General features: G+C 40.4%; 1 protein-coding gene across 10 annotated transcripts in view; it reads right to left on the bottom strand.

The window, feature by feature from the left end:
* UGT3A1 (UDP glycosyltransferase family 3 member A1) overlaps positions 1-26,065 on the bottom strand; it is a 50,017-nt gene that overhangs the window by 18,476 nt on the left and 5,476 nt on the right. For 5 of the 10 annotated variants that reach the window (XM_047416708.1, XM_047416707.1, XM_011513959.3 and 2 more), the window contains exon 3: positions 18,969-19,070. The exons of 2 other annotated variants lie outside the window; for them this stretch is intronic. In XM_047416708.1, the coding sequence (XP_047272664.1) occupies positions 18,969-19,002 (34 nt within the window). In that variant the 5' untranslated portion in view covers positions 19,003-19,070. 3 more of the 10 variants (NM_152404.4, XM_005248243.5, XM_011513958.3) reach the window with 3 other exon arrangements.

Genomic DNA, 26,065 nt, shown 5'->3' on the forward strand with positions numbered 1-26,065 from the left:
ACCCACCACCACCAAAGTACACCTGATAACAACCAAAAAGAGAAAGAGAGAATTAGGTTAGTCAAAAGGGGTGGGGAGGGGGACGGGTGGGATGCAAGAACAAAAACTAAAACAAAGGTCTACAACTTAACCCTTTGGAAATTTAACATTTATTTTTTAACAGAAAAATTAAAAGGACACTGATTGGCTATTTTCTCTCTACATTGTAAGTTCTAGATTAACATCAGATCAAATACACCCCTGCGAACCGTAATAACCTTAATCAACAATTGGGCAAAAGTTACAGGTATATCAGAATATTTCACTAAATTTAAGTAATATTACCTCTGTACTCTTAAGGAGTTATCCAATATAATATAGACGGCAAATATATATGCCCCATCTTAAGCATTGGTACTAAATACCTGTATTAGTCTGTTTTCATGCTGCTGATAAAGACCTACTTGAGACTGGATAATTTATAGAGGAAAAAGGATTTAATAGACTTACAGTTCCACATGGCTGAGGAGACCTCACAATCATGGCAGAAGGCAAGGAGGAGCAAGTCATGTCTTACATAGGTGGCAGCAGGCAAAGAGAGAGAGAGCTTGTGCAGGGAAACTCTCTCTTATAAAACCATCATTTCTTGGCCGGGCACTGTGGCTCACTCCTGTAATCCCAGAACTTTGGGAGGCTGAGGCAGGCAGATCATGAGGTCAGGAGATCAAGACTATCCTGGCTAATACGGTGAAACCCCATCTCTACTAAAAATACAAAAATAATTAGCCAGGCGTGGTGGCACACACCTGTAGTCCCAGCTACTCAGGAGGCTGAGGCAGGAGAATCACTTGAACCTGGGAGGCAGAGGTTGCAGTGAGCTGAGATAGCGCCACTGCACTCCTGCCTAGTGACAGAGTGAGACTCCATCTCAAAAAAAAAAAAAAGCCATCAGATCTCGTAAGACTTATTCCCTATCACAAGAACGGCACAGGAAAGACCTGTCCCCATGATTCAATTACCTCCCACCAGGTCCATCCCACAACACGTGGGAATTCGAGATAAGATTTGGGTGGGGACACAGCCAAACCATATCAATACTCCATAGTCTTAAGACTCATTTCCTAAAATATTCCATTGCATTCTGGGCATGGCTACTCTTAACTAACAATTAAAAAACTAACATAAAATTGTTTCTTTGGCACTTAGAATTGGCTTAACAAAAAGGGATGCTGTGGATCTGCTTCAGTATATTAAAATTATTAACAATGCCCAAAATAGATTAAAGCAGGGCCTTTACGGATTAAATTCCATTATGAAAGATCTATTTAGAAAAGGGTTAATTGTCTCCATTCTTTCTCCCTTTAAAATCCCAATTTGGACTATTTTTAAACCTAGCAAGAATTAATGATGCCTCACAACATTTTACTACAGCCTTAATGCCAGGATCCATCACATTTAGAACCTCATACCCATGGTTATTAAAAATTGCTTACTACATTTGAATACTAACAAATACTTTGCAATCATAGATTTGACAAATATGTTCCATTCAAGGCCTATTTCAATAGGATCTCAGTCAGTTTCCCTTTATCTTTAAAAGGCCATAAATCACCTGTAACTGGATGACTGTGGGGAACCTCAATATCCTGGCCCACAATCACTGCCAGCAAGACCATCATCATATCCAACTTTCCCTAGGAGCAGTTATGACATTATAATGAGGATGTCCTCCTTGGAGGAGACTCATCAAGCACAATCATTCAAGACATACACAGGGTGCGCTTATTCAAGACATATTATATATACAAAGGAACGCACAAAAAGGGATGTGCCATTGCCACACACAAAGTAGAAGGCATGGTGCTTCAGTTACATTCCTGAGAAGAATTGCTTGGTAAGTTTAACAATGCTCCATCATTACCAACATTCCATTCCCAGCATAATAGCATGAGTAACTCTCCAGACACTGTTCACACCAAAACTGGTGAAAATGACACACGCATACACACACACACACACACACACACACACATACACAAATGTTGGAAATGGTTCTAGGGCATACAGAAAAAGAAGAAATATTTATTCAAGAAAATCTACCAAAATTCACTGAAAACTGAGCCTAGGGTCTGTGGTATTTGAATGAAGACCCACTCTCTCCCTTTACTCAACCAACCCTGAGAGGCCAATGTCCTCTGACTGCTCCCACCAACTCCCAAACTGCAGCCAAGAAGGCAGGCTCCCTCCCTCTTGCTCCAACCCCAGCTCTCAGCCAGAGAGGTATTTTTCTGGGAGGGGCAAACTGTAAACATTTCTCGTCCTGCCCTTTTCTGCCTGTTGCTGTAGCTAAGTTCTGGCCAAATGTGTCCAAGAGGTGGGGGCTCCCTTCTACCAACCACCCCACTTGTGAAGCATGAGCTCGACCTTGGGCACAGCACTGTTGCAAATAGTGGGGTGCCACTTAACCATGACCCACCATGTAAGTGTGAGGTTTCCTGCTGCGGGAGGAAAGCAAGGAGACCTATGCCTACTGCCCACCCCTCCACATAGCACTCAGATCCCAAAGTAGTGATGTGACTCAGAGAGAAGCGCACCACCCTCAAGTCCAGAGCTGTCGTTCAAAGATTTTTTTCCCAGGCAGAGAAGGAAGCCATAAAACAGAGGACTCCAAATTTGCTTCTAGGATAGTTAGTTTTATTTGTAAGCTTGGCTAGGAGAGAGTACACGGTTAATTAATCAAACACTAATCTAGGTGTTGATATGAAAATATTTTATAGTATGCTTATTATCTGCAATCAGTTGACTTTAAGTAAGATAGATTACCCTCAGTAATGTAGCTGGGTCTTAACCAATCAGTTGAGAGGTTTTAAAAACAAACAAACAAAAAACTCTGAGGTTTCCCAGAGGAAAAAAAAAATTCTGCTTCAAGACTGCAACATCAGATCTTGCTTGAGACTTTCCAGCTTGCCTACCTGACCTATAGATTTTGGACTTGCTAACATCTCAAATTATGTAAACCAAGTCCTTGAAATACGTGTGTGTGTGTGTGTGTGTGTGTGTGTGTGTGTGTGTGTCCAATTGGTACTGTTTTTCTGATTTCCTAGGATTCTGGTTTCCTAGGATTGGTTCTCTATTATGAGAACAAAGTGATTCAAATATTGATTATATTTGAAACCGATAACTCTTTTCAGTGGTAAAGAGGGCACTCATCCTGTGGCATTAGGTGGCAATCATTGGATACTCCTAAGCAAATGCTTCTAAAAGGCAATGTTCTGGGATATTTATATCAAACTAATGAGTATAATGAAGATAGCTGGTTTCTTCTAATTTGATAGAGAAAGCATGGAAAGAAAAGAATGAGATCAAGGCTTTAAATTCCAAGCTCTGTCTCCACATTAATGACCTGAAAGCTTCTTTGTCTGCCCTGAAAAAAAAAAAAATCTCCTATAGCTACTGGGTTGAATGTTTGTGAAAATCAAACCCAGTCTCCTCCTGAGACTGAATTACGGTGCAATTTAATTCTCCACCTTGCAAGGTATTTTCTGCTAAAGTCAAGGCAATGATCAGGAAAGGAGATCCTAAAAACTGAGATAGGGACATATGGGCAGATCCTATGAATCTGGGGCTATTGAACCCCTAACTTCTGTTGAATCTTCTTTATCAGTAGAAGCAACTTTTCTACACCCATCTGGAGAAGTTAATCTCTTTTGCATGAGAAACTGTACAGTCTCTTTCTGAGTTATTTTGCTGAAAGATACTGTTTTAGCATCCCTCTTTATTTTTAGATTCAAAAATAGACTCGAGCTCCAGAAAGTGTCAAAGGTTACCCATAAGAAGGTTCACTATACACCAAAAGAACAATATGTATGACAAAAATCTGGGGTACATGTGTAGAAGAGTATGTGAGGTAATGGTGAAAGGTATGTAAAGTTTGATTAGATTGAATTTATTGATATGAGGCCACTAGACAGAGATTCTTGATTCATCGTTGTAGCCCAATAGGTTAAAGGGGCTCTGTTTGGTTAATTGAATTAAACATGGATGAAAGGGTGGACTACACTAAATAAAAATATAATACCAGATCTGTCTTGGTACCCTGAAAAGTATCAAACAGCTTAGGGAAATGAAGATGTAAGGACTGCTAACCCAGTGCAGGAAGGAAACAGAAAAAGAGGACACATTTTTTTCACCATGACTGTGAGAAACAAATTTGCAAGGGGCTTCCCAGCACCACCAGAGGCTCTGTGTTTGTTCTCCTTCATGGGTCAGAAATTATGATGCCCTTGAAGTGAGATTCCCTAAATATAATGGATTTAATTGCATCTTGGGGTGGCTGGGGTCAAGTGGTAGCACTTAAGCACCAAAATCAAGGTAGGCATGGTTACCATGAGGAATAGTAGAGTCAAAGCAATAATTAGAATAATCTGATTCATGGAGACCTAGAGCATTAGCTAATTAATCATGGCATCCCTAAAAGAAAAGAAGATGAGCAGTTTACAAAATTGTTACTTGATCAGTACAAGCAAAGGAGTCCTAAATAGATTAAACAAAAGTATAACTTCAATTACAAAAACACAGACCTCAGACAGTTTATGGACACAGAAGCCCTGGAAACAAGAGGAGGCAAAGTACCTTGGGAAAAGACCCCACTACACTACCAGAAATATATACTGTTAATCTTTCTCCAGCTTTCTCCAAAGGAACCTACAGCTTTTTACTAGTGTGGCTAGGCATTGGGGAAATAAAAATAATTATATTTTTCAGAGACTGCTGAACATTGGACCTTGAAATTAGACCCTAATTCCAAGGGTCTAATTCCCCAAACTGATTGTGATTATTTCCCCAGATTTGAAATGCATAATTGGAATAGATATACTCGGTATTGGCAGAATAATCATGCTGCTTCTCTGAAGTGTGGAGTGTAAGCTAGCATGGTTGGAAAGTCCAGGTGGAAGTCACTAAAATGACCTGTATCTGGCAAAACAGAAAACCAAAGCAATATTGCACTCTACAGAGATTTCAAAGACTAATGCCACAATTATGGACTTAAAGATTGCAAGGGTGGTGATTCCCATCACATCCCTATTCAACTTGCATTTTTGACCTGTGCAGAAAACACGTGGATCTTGGAGAATGATAGATGTCATAAACATAACCACACAGGAAACTCTAATTGCAGCTGCTCTTCCAGATAATAGTTTCATTGCTTGAGCAAATTAGCACAATCCCTGATACCTGATATGCAACTATTGATCTGGCAAATTTTTCTTGACACCCGTTAGTCAAGTCCATCAAAGACAGTTTGCTTTTATCTAACAAGGTCAGCAATACACCTTCACTCTCTAACCTCAAGGATACATCAATGCTCCAGCCCTGTGACACCATTTAGTCTGCATGAAACTTATTCACATTTCTCTTCCACAACAAACCACACTTGTCCGTTGCGTTGCCTATGGCCAATGGTTTGGCTAGATCATCATGGACTTGCAAGGAACATAACTTAAAAATTGGTGGCAAGAAGTTCTGGGGAAGAGGTATGTTATAAGACCTATCTGAATGGGCAAAACATAAATATATTTGTGTCCTATGTAAATGCTCACTTAAGGGTGACCTCAGCAGACAAGAACTTTAATAATCAAGTGGAGAAGTTGGCCTGTTCTGTGGATAACAGCCAGGTTCCTTCCTCAGCCAACCCTGTCATTTGCCTAATGGTTTCATAAACACAGTGGCCATGGTAGCAGGGATGGAGTTTATGTATGGGCATATCAAACTGGACTTCCACTCACCAAGTTGACCTGGATACTGCCACTGCAGAGTACTCAGTCAGCCAGTGACAGAGAACAACATTGATTGCCTGATTAGCATCATTCCTCAGGGTAACCTAGTCAGCTATCCAGGTAGCAGATTGATTACATTGGACCAATTCCATTATGAAAGAGATAGAGCTTTATTCTTACTCAAAAAGCCACTTACTCTGGATTTGACTTGCTTTCCCTTCATGCAATGCTTCCACCAAAGCTACCATCCATGCACTTACAAAATGCTTTATCTACTGATGTGGAATTCTACACAGCATTGACTCTGACAAAGAAACTCACTTAACTGCAAATAAACTGCAGCATGAGTGCATAATTATGGAATTTGTCGTCTTACCATGTTCCCCACCATCCTAAAGTGGCTGACTTAATGAAACAGTGAAGCATTTTTTTTTTTACTTTTTTTCATTTTATTTACTTATTTATTTTTTTATTATACTTTAAGTTTTAGGTACATGTGCACAACGTGCAGGTTTGTTGCATATGTATACATGTGCCATGTTGGTGTGCTGCACCCATTAACACGTCATTTACATTAGGTATATCTCCTAATGCTATCCCTCCCTGAAGAATTTTTAAAAGACACAGTTACAGCTACAGGTGGTGGAAATACATTGCAAGCCTGGGGCAGTGTTCTCCAGGAGACTATATATGTGCTTAATCACATCTAATATATGATGTTTCTTCTCCCATAGCAAGGATTCATGGGTTCAGGTATCAAGGGGTAGAAATGGCAGCATCACCACTCACTATTTCCCCTAGTGATCCACTATCAATATTTTTGCTTCCTGTTCCTGCAGCCTTATGCTCTTTCAGACTAGGATTTTAGTTCCAAAGGAAGGAATGTTTCCACCAAGAGACACAAAAATAATTCTATTAAACAGAAAAGTAAGAATGCAATCCAGCCACTTTTGGTTCCCCATGCCTCTGAATCAAATGGCAAAGAAAGAAGTTACTGTACTGATTGAAATTGGTGATCCTGATTATGAAGTTGAAATTGTGTTGCTCCTACACATTGGAGGTAGAAAAAGAGTTAGTTTGCATTATAGAAGATCTCTTAGGGCATCTCTAAGTATTAATATGCCCTGTGATTAAAATTAATGAAAAACTGCAACAACCCAATTTAAGAAGGATAACTAATGGTTCATTCCCTACTTTCTCTTCTGGTAAGAATTTTAAATGGTACAGCCACTTTAGGAAAAGTATGTCAATTTTTTAAAAAGTTAAACAATATGATTCAGCCACTGCACTTCTAGTTGCTAACCCAGAGAAAAGAATGTAGGACAGGCATAGTAGCTCATGTCTGTAATCCCAGCACTTTGAAAGGCCAAGGTGGGAGGATCACCTTAGGCCAGAAGTTTGAGGTCAGCCTGGGCAACATAGTGAGATACCGACTCTACAAAAAATAAATTAGCTGGGATTGGTGGTGCACATCTGTAGTTCCAGCTACTCAAGAGGCTGAGGTAAGAGGATTGCTTTAGCCCAAGTTTGAGGCTGCAGTGAGCCATGATTGTGCCAGTGCACTCTAGCCTGGGCAACAGAACAAGTGCTTGCCTCAAAAATAATATGAAAGAAAAAAGAAGGAAAGAAGGGACGGAGGGAGAGAGGAAGGGAAGGAAGGAAGGAAGGAAGGAGAGAGAGAAAGAAAAAGAAAGAAGAAAGAAAAAGAGAGAGAAAGAAAGAAAGAGAGAAAGGGAGAAAGAGAAGAGAAAGAGAAAGAAAGAAAAGAAAGAAAGAAAAAGAGAGAGAAAGAAAGAAAGAGAGAAAGGGAGAAAGAGAAGAGAAAGAGAAAGAAAGAAAAGAAAGAAAGAAAGAGAAAGAAAGAAAGAGAAAGAGAGAAAGAAAAGAAGGAAGGAAGGAAAGAAGGAAGGAAGGAAGAGAAAGTAAGTTATAACAGACGTGTACACAAAACGGTCATAGCAGGTTTATTTGTAATAGTCCCAAACTGAAAATAACCCAAATGTCTATCAACAGAAAACTAAATAAACACATTTTAGTAACGAATACAATAGAATACTAGCAAGCAATAAAAATAAATAAATAACTCATAAACACAATATGAATGAATCTTTAAATAATAATTGATATTCTTTGGATGTTTGCCCCCTCCAAATCTCATTGAAATGTGACCTCCAAAGTTGGAGGTGGGCCTAGTGAGAGGTGTTTGAGTCTTGGGATCAGATACCTCATGGACAGCTTGGTGCTGTCACCATGGTAGTGAATTCACACAAGAGCTGGTTATTTAAAAGAGCTTAGCACTTCCACCCACTCTTTCTAGCTCCCTCTCTCATCATGTGACTAGCCAGCTCCCCCTTTGTCTTCTGCTATGACAGTAAACTTCCTGAGGCCTCACCAGAAGCTGAGCAGATGCTGGTGCCATGCTTGTACAGCCTGCAGAACTGTGAGTCAAATAAACCTCTTTTCTTTATAAATTATGCTGCCTCAGGCAATAGACATTATGTTATAGCAATGTGAAATGAACTAATACAATAACGTTAATTAAAACAAGGCAAAATAAAAGAATACATACCTTATAATCCCATTTACGTAAAATTTAAAAGATACAAACTAACTCATAGTGATATATTAGTGACTAACTAGCAATGGGAGCTGGAAGGTGGGATGACACATAGTGGGGATTGCAAAGGGACAAAAGAAATTTTCTTGGAATGATGGAAATATTCATATCCTAATTATGTTGATGGATTCACAAGTATATACATATGTTCAAACATCAAATTGTACATATGTTTCAATTTTTACTTTTTTTCTATTTGAGACAGAGTCTCACTTTGTCACCCAGGCTGGAGTGCAGTGGTGTGATTTGGCTCACTGCAACCTCCACCTCCTGGGATTCAAGAAGTTCTCCTGCCTCTGCCTCTTGAGTAGCTGGGATTACAGGTGCACACCTCCAGGCCTGGCTAATTTTTGTATTTTTAGTACAGATGGGGTTTCACCATGTTGGCCAGGCTGGACTTGAACTCCTGACCTCAAGTGATCCACCTGCCTCAGCCTCTCAAAGTGCGGGGATTACAAGCATGAACCACTCTGTATTAGTCCATTTTCATGGTGCTGATAAAGATATACCCAAGACTAGGTAATTTGCCAAAAGAAAAGAAAAATAGATCTAATGGACTCACAGTTCCACATGGCTGGAGAGACCTCACAATCATGGCAGAAGGCGAAAGGCCCATCTTATATCACAACAGGCAAGAGAGATAGAGCTTGTGTAGGGAAACACACAAGTTTTTACAAAACCATCAGATCTCATAAGACTTATTCACTATCACAAGAACAGCATGGGAAAGAACTGCCCCATGATTCAATCACCTCCCACCAGGTCCCTCCCATAACATGTGAAAGTGCAAGATGAGATTTGGGTGGGGACACAGCCAACCCATATCATTCTGCCACTGGCCACTCCCAAATCTCACGTCCTCACATTTCAAAACAATCATGCCTTCCCAATAGTCCCCCATAGTCTTAACTCATTTCAGCATTAACTCAAAAGTCCACAGTCCAATGTCTCATCCGAGACAAGGCAAGTCCCTTCTGCCTATGAGCCTGTAAAATCAAAAGCAAGTTAGTTACTTCCTAGTTACAATGAGGGTAGAGGCAATGGGTAAATAGGGCCATTCCAAATGGAAGAAATTTGCCAAAACAAAGGGGCTACAGGTCTCATGCAGATCAAAAATCCAACAGGGCGGTCAAATCTAAAAGCTCCAAAATGATCTCCTTTGAATCCGTGCCTCACATCTGGGTCACACTGATGCAAGAGGTAGGTTCTCATGGTCTTGGGCAGCTCTACCCCTGTGTCTTTGCAAGGTATAGACTCCATCCCAGTTGGTTTCATGGGCAGCGGTTGAGTGTCTGTGGTTTTTCCACAGACATGCCCTGGAGACATTTTCCCCACTATCTTGGGGATTAACACTTGGCTTCTCCTTACTTATGCAATTTCTGCAGCAGCTTAAATTTCTCCTCAGAAAATGAGATTTTCTTTTCTATCACATTGTCAGTCCGCAAACTTTTTGAACTTTTATACTCTGCTTCCCTTACAAACTTATAAAACTGAATGCTTTTAAAATCACCCAAGTCACATCTTGAATGCTTTGCTGCTTAGAAATTTCTTCCACCAGATACCCTAAATCATCTCCCTCAAGTTCAAAGTTCCACAAATCTCTAGGGCAGGGGCAAAGAGTGACCTTTGCTTCAGTTCCTCATAAGTTCCTCATCTCTATCTGAAACCACCTCAGCCTGGACTTCATTGTCCATATCACTATCATTGTTTTTGTTAAAAAAAATTCAACAAGCCTCTAGGAAGTTCCAAACTTTCCCACATCTTCCTGTCTCCTTCTGAGCCCTCCAAACTGTTCCAACCTCTGCCTGTTACCCAATTCCAAAGTCACTTCCACATTTTTGGGTATCTTTACAGCAGCACCCCACTCTACTAGTACCAATTTACTGTATTAGTCTGCTTTCATGCTGCTGATAAAGACATACCTGAGACTGGGTAATTTACAAAGAAAAAGATATTTAATGGACTCACAGTTCCACATAGCTGGGGAGGCCCCACAATCATGGCAGAAGGCAGAAGGCATGTCTTACATCACAGCAGGCAAGAGAGAGAGAGCTTGTGCAGGGAGACTCCCCTTTCTTAAGACCATCAGGTCTCATGTGACTTATTCACTATCACAAGAATAGCACAGGAAAGACCTGTCCTCATGATTTAATTACTTCCCACCAGGTTTCTTCCACAACATATGGGAATTCAAGATGAGATTCTGGTGGGGACACAGTCAAAAACATATCAGACTGTGCCCAGCTTCAAATTGTATACTTTACATATATGCAGTTTATTATTTACAAGTCAATATTACTTCTGTAAAATGCTTTAAAAATGAAGAAAAGGAAGTTCAATCTGTGGCCATGAGGAAGTAATAGAGCAGATTTACCTTCCTACTTTAAACAACTAAAAATAAAGAAGACAGAATCTATGAAAAAAAAATTGTTTCTAAATACTGGACACCAGTCAGTGCAGAACATTTATTACTGACTGGATAACATTTTCATAATAGAGCTCATGGAGAAGGTAGCCACATCTGGCCAGGCCTTCTCCCTAAATGGAGGAGAATGGATTCAGATTTCAGAGAAAACAAGGCAGACAGAATTCACAAAACAATACCAGAGGGGAGAGAGCTGCAGAGAGAAAAGTCAAGTTGGGATCTTCCAGAGAACAGCTCAGTACATATATGTCAGAACACTACCATGGCCAGGAATGACTACCAGAAATAATCAAGTAGAATAATACCCAGACATCATACAAGGCCTCTCTCCAAATCCCTACTCATCTTTGATTCAACTCTTGATATTTAGTAAAGATCTAAAGATAAGCTTTCCAAGCAGCTGGAAAAAGTATGCCATTTTGATCATTATCTGTCTAACTCCTGTCATTATCTATCCATGGGTTCTGATATTCAGAAGAAAGACAATTTTACTTTATTAAGTTCCATAAATCTTAACAATATGAAATTTACTTTACCTTTTATGACAGATAAAGATGTTGTACATTTCACTCCTCAGGGCTATGGTGAACACCACTTATAAAGAGAAAAGCCCAGTGGCTGAATTAGAAATCTGAATTGAAATCAGGGATTTCCTTATATTAGCTATTGATCTGCTCTCCTACCTAGTTACTAAAAAAAGTCAAAACTGACCTGCTGGTCAGGATGAGAATTTTCTGGTCAGGAGAAGAAAATCACTGGCCTGAGTGTTTGGAGTCAGCCCATGAAGATCACTGATGTAACTCGGGCAGTCACCCAAAAACAATGAAGACCTGTTGCTTGGAGAAAAGTATACCAGGTAGATGGTGAGGTACAGAAAACTGTCTTAAAGAAAGAAAGAAAGAAAAAGAGGCCTTCTGGTTCCAAAATGGCATCATAGAATCAAGCTAGCTTCACTCTGCAATTACAGAAAACCAAAAATAAATATACAATGCTGAGATTATCACCAGCAATATCCCAGAACTCAAATATGAGAATGAGACAGTTCCAAGGGCCACAGAAGAGTGGCCCTTGTTGAATGATTTTGACCAAAATGCTGATAGTGATATGGACAATGAAGTCCAGGCTGAGGTGGTCTCAGATGGAAATGACGAACTTATTGGGAACTGAAAAAAGGTCACTCTTTCTATGCTTTAGCAGAGAAACTGGTGGCACTGTGACCTTGCTCTAGAGATCTGTGAAACTTTGAACTTGAGAGAGATGATTAGGATATCTGGCTGAAGAAATTTCTAAGCAGCAAAGCATTCAAGACATGGTCTGGCTGCTTCTAAAAGCCCATGTTCATTTGCATAAGAAAAGAGAACTTATATTTCACTGGGAAATATAGCATAAACATTTGAAAAATTTGCCACCTGACCATGTGGTAGAAAAGAAAAACCCATTTTCTGGGGTGAAATTCAAGCAGCTACCTGCAGAAGTTTGCATAAGTAAAGAGGAGCCAAATGTTAGTAACAAAGACAATGGAGAAAATATCTCTAGGGCATGCCAGAGAGTTCATGGCAGCCCCTACAATCACAGGCCCAGAGGCCTAGGAGGGGAAAATGGTTTTGTGGGCTAGGCCCAGGACCCCACTGCTCTGTTCAGCCTTGGGGCATGGCACCCCTAGCTGTTCCAGCTCCAGCCACAGCTAAAAGAGGCCCAGGTACAGCTAAGTCATTGTTTCAGAGGGTACAAGCCCCAAGACTTGGTGGTTTCCATGTGGAGTTAGGCCTACACATGTGCAGAAGGCAAGAGTTGAGATTTGGAAGCCTCCACCTAGTTTTCAGAGGATATATGAAAATGCCTTCATGTCCAGGTAGAAGTCTGCTGCAGGGGTGGAGCCCTCATGGAGAACCTCTACTAGGGCAGTGCAGAGGAGAAATGTGGGGCTGAAGCCCTCACACAAAGTCCCCACTGGGGCATTGCCTAGTGGAGCTGTCCTCCAGAAACCAGAATTGTAGAACCATCCTCCTGGAAAAGCTGCAGGCACTCAACAACAGATCATTAAAGCAGCCATAGGGGCTATACCTTGCAGAGCCACAGGGGCAGAGCTACCCAAGGCCTTGCAAGCCCACCCCTTGCATCAGCATGTCCTGGATGTGAGACATGGAATCAAAGGAAATTATTTTGGCGCTTTAAGATTTAATGGCTTCCCTGCTGGGTTTCAGACTTGCATGGGGCCTATAGCCCCTTTGTTTAGGACAATTTCTCCCATTTGGAATGGGAATATTTACCTAATGCCTATCCTCTCATGGTATCTTGGAAGTAACTGAATTGTTTTAGATTTAAAAGGCTCATAGGCAGAAGGTACTCGTCTTGCTTCAGATGAGACTTTGGACTTGTACTTTTGAATTAAGGCTGGAATGAGTTAAGATTTTGAGGACTGTTGAAATGGCACGGTTTTGTTTTGAGTTGTAAGAAGGACATGAGATTTGGAAGGGGCCAGGGGCGGAATGACATGGCTTGGCTTTGTGTTCCCACCCAACCTCATCTCAAGTTGTGATCCTTAGTGAAGGAGGAGAGGCCTGCTGAGAGGTGATTGGATCATGTGTGCAGATTTCCCCTTGCTCTTCTTTTGACAGTGATTGAGTTCTCATGAGATCTGGATGTTTGAAAATGTGTAGCACCTCCTCCCTTGCCTTCTCTCTCTCCTGCTCCACCCTGGTAAGATGTGCTTGCTTTCCCTTCACCTTCTGCCACAATTGTAAGTTTCCTGAGGCCTCCCAGCCATGCTTCCTATACATCGTGTGGAACTGTGAGTCAATTACACCTCTTTTCTTCATAAATTACGCAGTCTCAGGCAGTTCTATATAGTAATGTGAAAACAGATTAATACACCAGACTAAAAAATAAAAAGAGAAGATCCAAAAAAAAAATCAGAAACAGAAAAAAAGATATAACAACAGAGACCACAGAAATACAAAGAAGCATTAAAAGTCTCTATATTATTACAAACAACAATATGCCAACAAATTGGAAAAACTAGAAGAAAAGTATAAATTCCAAGGCACGTAAAACCTACCATGACTGAGCAATCAAGAAATAGAAAACCTCAACAAACTTATCATGAGGAATGAAATCAAAGCCATAATAGAGTCTCTCATTAAAGAAAAGCCCAAAACCTGATGAATTCACTGATGAATTCTATCAAACATCCAAATAACGAAACCAATTCTACTCAAAGACTTCAAAACAATTAAAGATCAGGGGCTATTTTCAAACTCATTCTATAGGGCCAGCCATACTCTGATACCAAAATCAGACAAGGGCATAATAAGAAAAAAAAACACTATAGGCCAATATAACTGATGAAGATAGATGCAAAAATCCTCAACAAAATACTAGCAAAACAAATTCAACAACACATTAAAAAGATCATTCACCATGATCAAGTGGGATTCATCCCAGGGATGCAAGAGTAGTTCAACATATGCAAATCAACAAACATGATACATCACATAAACAGAACCAAGAACAAAAACCATATGATAATTTCAATAGATGCATAAAAGCATTCAGTAAAATTCAACACCTTTTTATGATTTAAAAAAAAACCCTCAACAAACTAGGTATAGAAGGAACATACCTCAAAATCATAAAGGCTATATATGACACACCACAACTAAAATCATATCAAATAGCAAAAAACTGAAAGCCTTTCCTCTAAGATCTGAAATAAGACAAGGATGCCCACTTTCACTACTTTTATTCAACATCATAGTGGAAGTTCTGGACAGAGAAGTTAGGCAAGAGAAATAAATAAAGACATCCAAATTGGAAAGGAGGTAGTCAAATTAGCCTTTTTCACAGAAGACATGATTTTATACTTAAAAAACCTAGAGACCCTAGCAAAAAACTATTAGAATTCATAAGCAAATTCAGTAAAGTTGCATGATAAAAAATCAAAGTACAAAAACCAGTAGCATTTCCATATGCCAACAGCAAACAACCTGAAAAAGAAAGCAATAAAGAAATTCCATTTATATGGCTTGAGAATTGATGCTCAGTCTTATTTATATTATTCTATCCCTAGTTATGTGATACTTAACTGTATTGCTCGGTATTTAGCAGCCCATTATCTAATCATTACATCACCCTCATTCTTTCTGAGCTTGTTTCCTTTTTGTGAAATGGGGCTACCATTCAATCTCACAGAATTTTTTTTTTTTTTTTTTGAGACAGAATCTTGCTCTATCACCCAGGCTGGAGTGCAGTGGGGCAAACTCGGCTCACTACAACCTCTGCCTCCCAAGTTCAAGTACTTATCGTGCCTCAGCCTCCTGAGTACCTGGGAATACAAGCATGTGCCATCACACCCAGCTCATTTTTGTATTTTTGGTAGAGACAGGGTTTCGCCATGTTGGCCAGGCTGGTCTCAAACTCCTGACCTCAGGTGATCCACCCACCTCGGCTTCCCAAAGTCCTGAGATTACAGGTGTGAGCCACCACGCCCAGCCAATCTCACAGAATTTTTATAAATTCTAGACAAATTTTTATTTTAAAAGACTTAGCACAGCCCCTGACAGCGTAGGCACTCAATAAATGTGGAATCTGAATCTTACTCAAAGCTAGTTTATATTTTCAAGTCTTCTTACTTTTACTAATGCTGCTTTAAGATATATTCTATAAGTTCAAATGTAAAGTTCTAGATTGGGAAAGAATTTATAATGTGTCTAATAAAGATTGTTAGAGACAAACTTTTAGACTGAACCAATCTACTATTAATGGACTGATGAATCTTACCGGAAAATAAACATAAAATATAAAAAAAAAAAAAAAAGAAATTCCATTTATAATAGCTACAAAAAATATAAAATACCTAGAAATCAATTTAACAAAAGATGTAAAAGATATATATGGAAAACTATAAAACTCCACTGAAAGAAACTGAAGAGGTCACAATAAATAGAAAGCTATTCCTTGTTCATGGACTAGAAGAATAAATATTGTTAAAATGCCAATACTACCTAAAGCAAACGTACAAATTCAATGCAATTATTATCAAAATATCAATGACATTATTCACAGAAATAGAAAAAAATTATAAAATGTATATGGAACCATAAAAGATCCTGAGTAACCAAAGCAATCCTGAGCAAAAAGATGAAAGCCAGAGGCATCAAACTACATGACTTCAAAATATACTGCAAACGTATAGTAACCAAATCAGCACGGTACTGGCATGAAAACAGACACATAGACCAATGGAACAGAAGAGCCCAGATAAAAACCTACACATGTATAGCAACCTTATCTTCAACAAAGAGGCCAAGAACATATAATGAGGAAAGGACAGTCTTTACAATAAATGGTGCTGGAGAATCTGTAAAACTGGATATACGCAAAGAACAAAACCAAGCCACTGTCTCTCACCATACAAAAAAATAAGGTCAGAGTGGATTTAAAACTTAATTCTAAGACTTAAAACTATGAAACTACTAGAAGAAGACATTGAGGAACTATTCCAAGACATTGGTCTCAGCAAAGACTTTTTTAGTTAGACATCAAAAGTACAGGCAATCAAAGCAAAAATAGACAAATGGGATTACATCAAGCCAAAAAGCTTCTGCACAGCAAAGGAAACAGTCAACAAAATGAAAAGACAACCCAAAGAATGGAGAAAATAATTGCAAACTATTCTTTTCACAATGGATTAATAACCAGAATATATAAACAGCTCAAACAACTTAATAGCAAATAAATAGTTAAAAATGGGAAAAAGATCTGAATAGACATTTCTCAAAATAACCAACAGATACATAAGAAAATGTTCACCATTATTTATCCTCAGAAAAATGCAAATCAAAATCACAATGTGATATCATCTCATCACAGTTAAAATGGCTTTTATCTGAAAAACGGAATAATGAATGCTGACACGAAAGTCAAGAAAGGGGAACCCTCATACACTGTAAATTAGTACAGCTGCTATGGAAAACTCTATCAAGATTCCTCAAAAAACTAAAGACAGAACTACCATATGATGCAGCAATTCCACTACTAGATATATAATCCAAAAGAAAAAAAGTCAATATATCGAAGAGATAGCTTCATTCCCATGTTTATTGCAGCACTGTTTACAATAACCAAAGTAAAGCAATCAACCTTAGTGCACATCAGTGGACAATGCATAAAGAAAATGTGATTTAAATCCACAATGAAATATTATTCAGCTATAGAAAATAATGAAATTGTGTCATTTACAGCAATATGTATTGAATTAGAGGCCATTATATTAAGTGAAATAAGCCAAGCATAGAAAGAAAAATATCCAATGTTCTCACCCATATGCAGTAGCTTACAAAAGAGGATCTTATGAAAGTAGAGAGTAGATTGGTGATTACTAGAGACCGGAAATGGTAGTGGACAGGGGATATGGATAGAGGTTGATTAATGAGTACATATCTATAGCTTTACAGAAGAAATAAGATCTAGTGTTTGATAGATCAGTAGGGTGACTATAGTTTACAATAATCTATTGTATGTTTCAAAGTAGCTAGAAGAGAATAGTTTGAATGTTTCTAGAATAAAGAAAAAACAAATATTTAAGGTCATGCATATCCCAATTACACTGATTTGATCCTTACAAATTATATAAATGTATTATCACATGCACCCTGAAAATATGTACATCTATTATGCAGCAATAAAAATGTATAAATTTTTTAAAAAGGAAAAAGAGTCAGAACCTCAAATAATTATGTTCTCCTTTAGGCTGCTATCCTATACGTGAGATTTCAGTTATGAGTTGGAAAAATACTGCGCGTGAGCACAAAAAACCTACACTTCTTCAGTATCCCTGAAGTCATTTATTTATTAAAGTTTTAAATAAGGAAGTGATGGAAACATGTAGTTAACAAATGTACAAGTATTTCAATACACTGATTTGGCTATCAGACTATCAAAAACAACCCAATCAAGTGCTTTTCCTACTTTCAGAGCTCTACCCAAATACTACTGCAAACTAGAAGGAAGAATATTTCATCTCAACCGCAGAAATGTCCAAAGATTGAGGAATACTGAAAGAAACTCTAGAACACTTGAACCCCAACACTTGAACCCAAAGATAAAGCTGAACAGATTCATGAATCCACAGAATCATTTGTAGATTTTGGTGTGCATGGTCTGTTAAAGTAGTGGGTCTATAGCTTTCAGCAGTTTGTCAAAAGCTATTGGAACCACCAAAATAAGATGACCATATATTACTGCTGAGAAATCAGACACTATAAGGCAGATACAAAGGAAAATGTATAAAAAGGATATTCAGTGAACATTCCAAAACTCAATCTAGAAGGTGATCAAAAGTGCATTAAAACTATCTAAACATTAACAAGGCCTGAAGTTTACCTTCAGAATTTTATAATGACTCAGACTTTTTCTCCCAAGATGGTTAATTTTTGATGTTGTTCAAAGCTTCAGAAACCCTCAGATTGAGAAACCCAGAGCCTGAAGACCCAGATTCGCCCAACTCTGTTATTAATTTTTCATTTGACATTAAACAAATTTTTTCAGTTCCCTGGACCTCCGTCTCCTTGTCTGTCAACAGGAATTTATGAGTTTCATTTTAGTTACAATTCTTTGGAGGAAATGAATCAATTAAAAACTTCTGACATCATTATGTACAACTTATGCATAGCTACAAATTTTTCAAGCATATGAGGTCGTGTTAATCATATATTCTCATCTTAGTTAATAATTAAGAGGCTCCCTGGGAAATCTTTCATAAATTTCAAGTCTCTCAAGAATAGAAAGTAACCTGTGGGATAAGAAGAACTTCTATACTTACATAATAAAAGCCTGAAATATGGCTAAACATTTCTGTTCAAAAAAACTTTAAGCCATACCATTGTGTAGTATTCCTCAAAATAATTAATAATAATGTGTGGAGAGTTGTCTAGAATAGAATGACACCCAGGTAAGTGGTAAAATACAGAAGTATGTTATGTGAAGTCTTAGTCTACAGACCCAATAAGAATTCCAATACTTAACATGAACACACATCCACACACACATTTATTCATCCCGAAATAAGACTAGATTCAAAGAAGTTTTTACTATGCAGCTGTATAAAAAATATATTATCACTTTTTGCTTAGAGTAAAAGAATATAAAAATTAGTTTTTAAAAAAGATACCTGGGATCAAAAACTTTCCACTCTGATGAAGCATAGTCACATTATGACCATGCTCTTGAAGAATCTGAGACACCCGGTCCAACAGTAGGTAATGGCTTCCACCTAGAAACAATGCACAATGTCTTTTGTAAAGATGAAAATAGAGTTTCTGATGACAATATGGGAGTAGGCAGGAGGGAATGGAAATTCAGCAGAAAAAGCATAGGGAAGAGGAAATGTGAACAGTGAGAAGATGGAGATAAGCGCTTCCTGTTCCTCAATCTCACTTTGGGTAATGCCCAGTACATGCACCCAAAGCCTTCCTGTCCTATGTTCGGGACCTGTGGCAATCCTCCATCAAAGATTTCCGCTTGTGGCTCAAAGACTCCATGTCAGTGTAATGAGCTTCTCTGTGATTACGCCTGTAAAAGTTGCTCATCTTAAGGTATGTGCTGCATGTTACTTGGGGCCTTAGAGAGATATTGTCTCCAAAATATAACTGCAATGATAGAAAATACAGCACAGTAGTGTGTACATTAGTATGAAGGGTTCCTAATGGGCAATCAGTCAGAGCTATCTTTCATCCTATTTTGGAAAAGTATGCTACTGTAGGAGACAGAAATACAGAAGTTACAAGGTGAGTCTAAGAAACTGCCATTGGACAGAAGCTACTACTTAGAGCCCAAATCTTTGTGATTAAAATGTATTTGGCAGGAAATTACTCAATTTGGGCCAATGTACAACTTATAATTAAGATATTTGAGGACAACTGTGGAGCCCTTGGGGTGGGCCTATAGATCCTGGTTGCACCAGAAACTAAAGAATCACTGATTCTAGGAAAATCCTACCATGCTAAGGAAAGAGAAGCTTGGTTCTCAAAAGAGGTAAAAGTTTTATCACGTTAATATCTTCTCTTAGTGCATGTTCCAACACAGACCCTTCACTGGAAGCTAAGGTTCTCAGCAGCAGAAAAAGAAAGATCAGAAGAGAAATTAATGGAAAAATGCCGAGAGTTTGAGGATGGAGGTGGAAGGGGAGTAGAGAAATAGTGCGCAGCTGTCTGAATGACTCACTCTACTTATACTCAGACTTGAATAGTCTAAAGCAACAAGGGATGTATAAAGTACAAATCTGCAACGGTCTTGCTCACATTTTAATCCATGTAAGAACAGGGACTCAGGAAGAAGGGGTCCTCACAGAAACAGCCACTCATAGTGGGTCTTAAGGACTCAAATGGCTTTCTGGGGCAAAGACCTGGATTCCAGCATCTGGATTCAGAAACGACACCAGCTCCCTCTTGAAGTCTGAGGAAGGAGGGCTGTGTACTTCCAAGAAGTTAAGAAGCTCTGTTGCTTCACTGCTACTAACACTCAGAAAGCGGGGAAAAGACTTCAAATGAACTAACACAGTTTCTTAGTGATTGAGGCGGGCGGATCACGAGGTCAGGAGATGGAGACCATCCTGGCTAACACGGTTAAACCCCGTCTCTACTAAAAGAATACAAAAGAATTAGCTGGGCGTGGTGGCGGGCGCCTGTAGTCCCAGCCCAGCTACTCGGGAGGCTGAGGCAGGAGAATGGCGTGAACCCGGGAGGCGGAGCTTGCAGTGAGTTGAGATGGCGCCACTGCACTTCAGCCTGGGCGACAGAGCAAGACTCCGTCTCAAAAAAAAAAAAAAAAAGAAAGAAAATCCTTAGTGAAAACGGCATCAGAGCGGAAGTTGTGGTGAGCGTGGTCTTGGGGTAAGAAACCCTAAACAATTCTTCATGGGACATTAAGGAGGCCACATGTGCTCTTAAGAAAGGCATCTCACTTCCCTGTCCCTCAGTTGCCCTCTCAGAATATCAAAATGGGCACTAAATTAGATGATCCGTGGTTCCTTCCAGCTCTAAGAGCCCTGATTCTCCGTGATCTAAAAGGAATCCTTTAGCGCCCACTACGGATTAAAATAAAGTCTTGGGGAAGATCGATCCTGGGATCGAGCTCATATATAATTCTCTTTCATCTTCTACTTCCTTTGAAATAAAAATAAAATAAAACTGAGGCCCAAAATGCAGAATTAACAGTCCCATGAATCCCTTAAAAACGGTCAGCGGCACAGGTAAAAGGAAGGAGGCTCCAAAAGATCCGAATGACCTGGGTTCTCTCCTCAGACCTGGGCAGTTCTCCAGGTTTCCCCTGGAGAAAAACACTCCGCTGGCATTGCAGTCATGAAATACCTGCCTGCGCCACCCTGGCTCCATATGCAGCTTCACAACATTTGCAGTGCTGCCCTCAGGAGTGCCTTTCCCTGGTCTCCAAGAGGCTGGAAACGGTCACCACCGTTTCTGCTGGAAGCTACTGTGCACCTCCCGGCCCCATGGAGCTTAGGGTGAGCCTCTGAAAGTCCCACTGCGCTCTAGAGAAGGCAGCCCAGGAACTCAAGCTCTGGTCCTGGTCTCAAATTTCTGGCCCCAGTCCTGCGGGACGGGGAGCGCGTCCTGAACAAGAAGAGAGAAGAAAGGAGAGTGTCTTTTCTCAAAAACTGTCTTCCTCACCTCAGCAATAGAGGCCCCTCTCTGCCCCACGGCTAGATGGGCTTCTCCCTCCTCCAGCCAGGTCCGCAAGCCCAGCCTGGAAAATCGCCTGGATAACTCTGATCAATCGCCGTTCGCTGGAGCCCTGGCAGTGCGGGGATCCGGGACGCGCCTGTCTGGGAATTCTCCGGCCAAGCACTCACCCAGTGTAGATATTGTCAGGATTTTGGCAGCCTCTGAGAGCAGGACCCCAGAAAGAAGGAAGGCCACTAGAAGCAGCACCCGCTGCCCAACCATGCTCACTTCCACAGAAGCAGCGGATCTCAGCCTGGGCTGCGCGCCCTGCGCCGGGCTAAGGACTCTGTGCGCGCCTCAGTACTCCAAAGGCACTGGCTGTGGGCCTAGGAAGAGGTAGGAGACGGATCCTGCCAATTCTCTCGCCCTTCTGTTCGTTCTCTTTCCCGCTGCCCCTCCTCCCTGGGTGCATGCTCCATGGGATAATCTGCCCTCACCCTATCAAACTACCTGAAGTCAGTAGGAGGGGGTTGGTAACCTGATCTGTAACCTTTCTCTGCCTGCGTAATCACAGCTGTCCTATCTGGAAAATCCTTACTAAGAGCCAGGAATGACAGGGGCCTCAGTAAATCACGTTAATGAAGGCTCCATCCCCAAGGAAACCACCTGTCTTTCGTGGAGCTGTCTGAACTTATGTTACTCTGCTTCCCTTCCAGCTGCCTCTATTACCTCATAGTGCCATCTCCATGCCCCCATTTTCCCCAGAAACCTGCTGAAAATCTCTAGCTGGTGTCCCAAGCTCAAGATGTCCCTGAGAGGGAATCCCTAAGGGAAACTGATCTACCCTCTCTGAGGGCCTCTTTAGAAGATAACATTCATGAAGAGGAGCTAGTAGTGTTCTAATTCTGAAAGTCACTCCGGGTCTGTACCTGGAGACTGAAATTCGAACACAGAGACTATGATTCTGAATGTGTATCATAAAATAGAACTAGGGATATTTTGATAATCTCCCCAAAGCACAAACTGAGAATAGCTTGTAATTCTGCCCCCTTGAAGGGTCAACCCTGGGAAAGACAGGGATCACTACACCAGGTATGGTCACCTTTGTACTCTCTATCCTCAAACCAAGACTTTCGGAAAGGCTTTCAGTGCAATTCTAGACAGACAGAGAAATCCTTCAATGGATTATATCTACCGGCTGTAATAGGCCCTTGAATTCTGCTTGTACTATTCTTGCCTTCAGTCTACAGGTATTACATTTTTAATCTGAATTTAAAGCATTACATTTTATTTAAAGCATTACATTTGTGCATCCTTCACCTAGACATGTTCATTGTGGAGAGGGAGGAAATGAGAAAGAGAGAGAGCCAGACAGACAGATGCACAAACATACACACACATACACTCACACACACACACACTGGGTTGGGGGAGCGAAAGGGAGAAGGGGAAAGAGAAGTGTGGAGGGGGGAAGGTTTACCAGGCTTCACAAGACTCCAGTCCATCTATTCTTATACCTTTTATAATGCATTAGCAAAATAAAGGACTTGCTATCAAGCTTCAAGCTCTTCATTTATTCAACAATTATTCTGACAGCTAATTATTACACCAGATATGTTTGCTGGACAGACAGAGGCTAAACACAATAAGAAATGAAATACATAATATATTCATGAGAAATGCTGCCAAGAGAAAACAAACAAGGAAAGAGATATGAAAGGTCAGGTATTAGAAGTGTTAACATATTAAATAGTATGATTTAAACCAATTCTAAAAAATTATAGGAGTATGAGAGAAAAATGAGCACAAAACTTGATGATATTAAGTAGTTACTGTTGCTTTGGAGAATTTTATGTTATTATGAAAGGAAATTAAATTTGGGGACACAAAACTCATTTGACCAAAGGGAAAAGTCAAGCTTGGAACTGGGTCACACAAACCTGCGTCTCCCTTTTGGTTCCTAAATAAGATGGCTACAAGATGGAAAGCTACACACCTCCCCCATATGTTGCCCACAAGGAAATTCCTAGTGAGCTCTTAAAATTTCACCGTGGCAATGCAAATTGATAGCTTATTTTTACAGGTGCAGTCACCCCCAGCCCACCAGACATAAATGCATATCTGCCCAATTTTGTCTATGTTATCTTATGTAAAAATGCAGATTCCCTGCATTTTTTTTCTCTGCTCCATTTGTTTTATATCATCTTATATAAAAAATGCAAGGTGGCCAGGCACGGTGGCTCACGCCTGTAATCCCAGCACTTTTGGAGGCCAAGGCGGGTGGATCACAAGGTCAGGAGATTAAGACCATCCTGGCCAACATGGTGAAATCCCGTCTCTCCTAAAAATACAAAAATTAGCTGGGCGTGGTAGCACGTGCCTGTAATCCCAGCTACTCGAGAGGCTGAGGCAGGAGAATCGCTGGAACCCAGGAGGCGGAGGTTGCAGTGAGCCAAGATCGCGCCACTGCACTCAAGCCTGGTGACAGAGCGAGACTCCGTCTCAAAAAAAAAAAAATGCAGATTCACTGAGCCAGACAAAGGCATGAATGACTATTTTTCCCTACCCACCCCTTACATGAAAATTGTGTACTTCTCAATATCCCACCCTCTCCCCTTTAAATTTAGAACCCTCAAAGTCATCTTTGGAGAAAGGCATAGACCTATCTCCTGGTGCGCGTCCTTAACTTTGGCAAATAAATCTCCTAAAATGATTGAGGCTTGTCTCATCATTTTTCTCTATTGACGTCTAGTAACCATGGAGGGATCCTGAGTGAAAGTGACCCAGCCTGCAGCCTCTCATCTCTCGTGTTTGGTTCCGGCTTGGGCACCTTATAGCCCAAACCAATAGGACAATTTTCTGAAGTCCAGGATCTCTTTCCTCCAGGGATCCCTGATCTTCCAAAGTTTTTCAGGGATCTAGGAGTCTGAGGTTTATATGCTGTTATTAAACAAACAAACAAACAAACAAACAAAAAGCTCCTTTTTTATGGGAGTTTCCACTTGTTTCCTTCAAGGAGGGCGAGCCTATCTGCTTCTGTATCAGGGATCTTGCGGTCTGAGGTTTATTTGCTGTTTAAAAAAAAACTCCTTTTTTGTGGGAGTTTCCACTCATTTCCATCAAGGAAGGTGAGCCTGTCTGCTTTTGTATCAGCAGAAAGCAGACTTCAGCTTGGACCTCCATCACTAGGTAAAGAACAGGTTTGGGATTCTGTCTTACAAATTCTTTTAAATGACTAAAATTAGCATCAACAACCAGCTGGTGTTAATTTCCCACTTACACTTAGAGCACTCAGAAATCATATAATTTGTGTCATTATTGTTAGTTTTGCTTAACGGTTTTGTTGTTTCTAGTTTTGTTTTGTTTTGTTTTGTTTGTGTGTGTGTGTGTGTGTGTGTGTGTGTGTGTGTGTGTGTTTCGGTTCTTTCCCCTATCAGGTTTGACCAACTCCAAACCCTCTAGCTCATGAGGGTGGAATTCTCCACTCTGAAAAACAAATAGGAGCACCTTGCTCCTCTCAGCCTTTTGTGGCATTCTCAGGTGACTGAGAATCACATGAGGGTGATGGAGAGAAGCACTCCCTAAGATGTTCAGTGCCTCTGAATAGGTTTCCCCCTCAGGAGAACATACTTAGGGTCTAATCTCAGCTGACAGGTGCATATAAGGAGCTGACCCCTCCCACACCTTCAGCCCCTGACACATATGCCAGGTAGCCGCAACATGTGTGGACTGAACCAGTTTAGGTTGTGATGGCCCTGAAAAGCTAGGTCTGCAAGCAGCACATTTGGGGTCCAACACACATCCCAACTTGGTGAAATCCAAAAAGGAACTCTAAGTTATGGGGAATAAGGTCTCTAAGACCCCGGAGGAACATAAAGTTCCCCCTTCAGAAACTCCGGATGGGTATTGTGGCAAATAGTCATGCAAATATTTAACCAAGTGGACCACTATAACTAAAGCAGATTCTAAGTTACAATGGCCTAAATGGGGATCTTTTGATATGCCCAAATTAGTGTAACTGTGAACCAGGATGGAAAACGCAGGCACAAAAACTAAACAGCCAGAATGGAGGAGCTACTTTCAATGGTATCTGGAGAGTAGCAAAAGGGAGGAAGACTGAAGGCCAACAAACAACTTAGAAATGCTCATCAAGAACTCTGTAATCTTTTATCTCTCTTAAAGAGCTATTGGCATCTCCCCTACCTCCACCTCCACCCTCACTCTACCCTGACCTCTCTGAACTTCCCAGGTCAGATCTGTTCCCCCCTTCTCCTCCATGTCTACCACTCAACAGTAGTCTGACTTCAAAGACTCCACTCCCTGATGATTCCCTGACAGCCCCAATGGCAGCATCTCATCTGGAAGATGTGAAAATGAGGGACCCTACAGGGACATCTCTCATGATCGCCCCATTTCAGGAACAACCGGTAACAGGTAAGGGATCCCTGCCAATTGTCTACCAACCCTGGTCAAAGGCTGAATTACGAGGCATAGTTAAAGAATTTCCTGACCTCCATAAAGATCCAATTGGTTTTGCCCAAAAATATGAGCTCATTATCAGAACCTATCACCCAGGTCATTCAGACCT

Source organism: Homo sapiens, chromosome 5 (genome assembly GCF_000001405.40).
Source record: "Homo sapiens chromosome 5, GRCh38.p14 Primary Assembly".
In the NCBI taxonomy this organism is placed as follows: domain Eukaryota; kingdom Metazoa; phylum Chordata; class Mammalia; order Primates; family Hominidae; genus Homo; species Homo sapiens.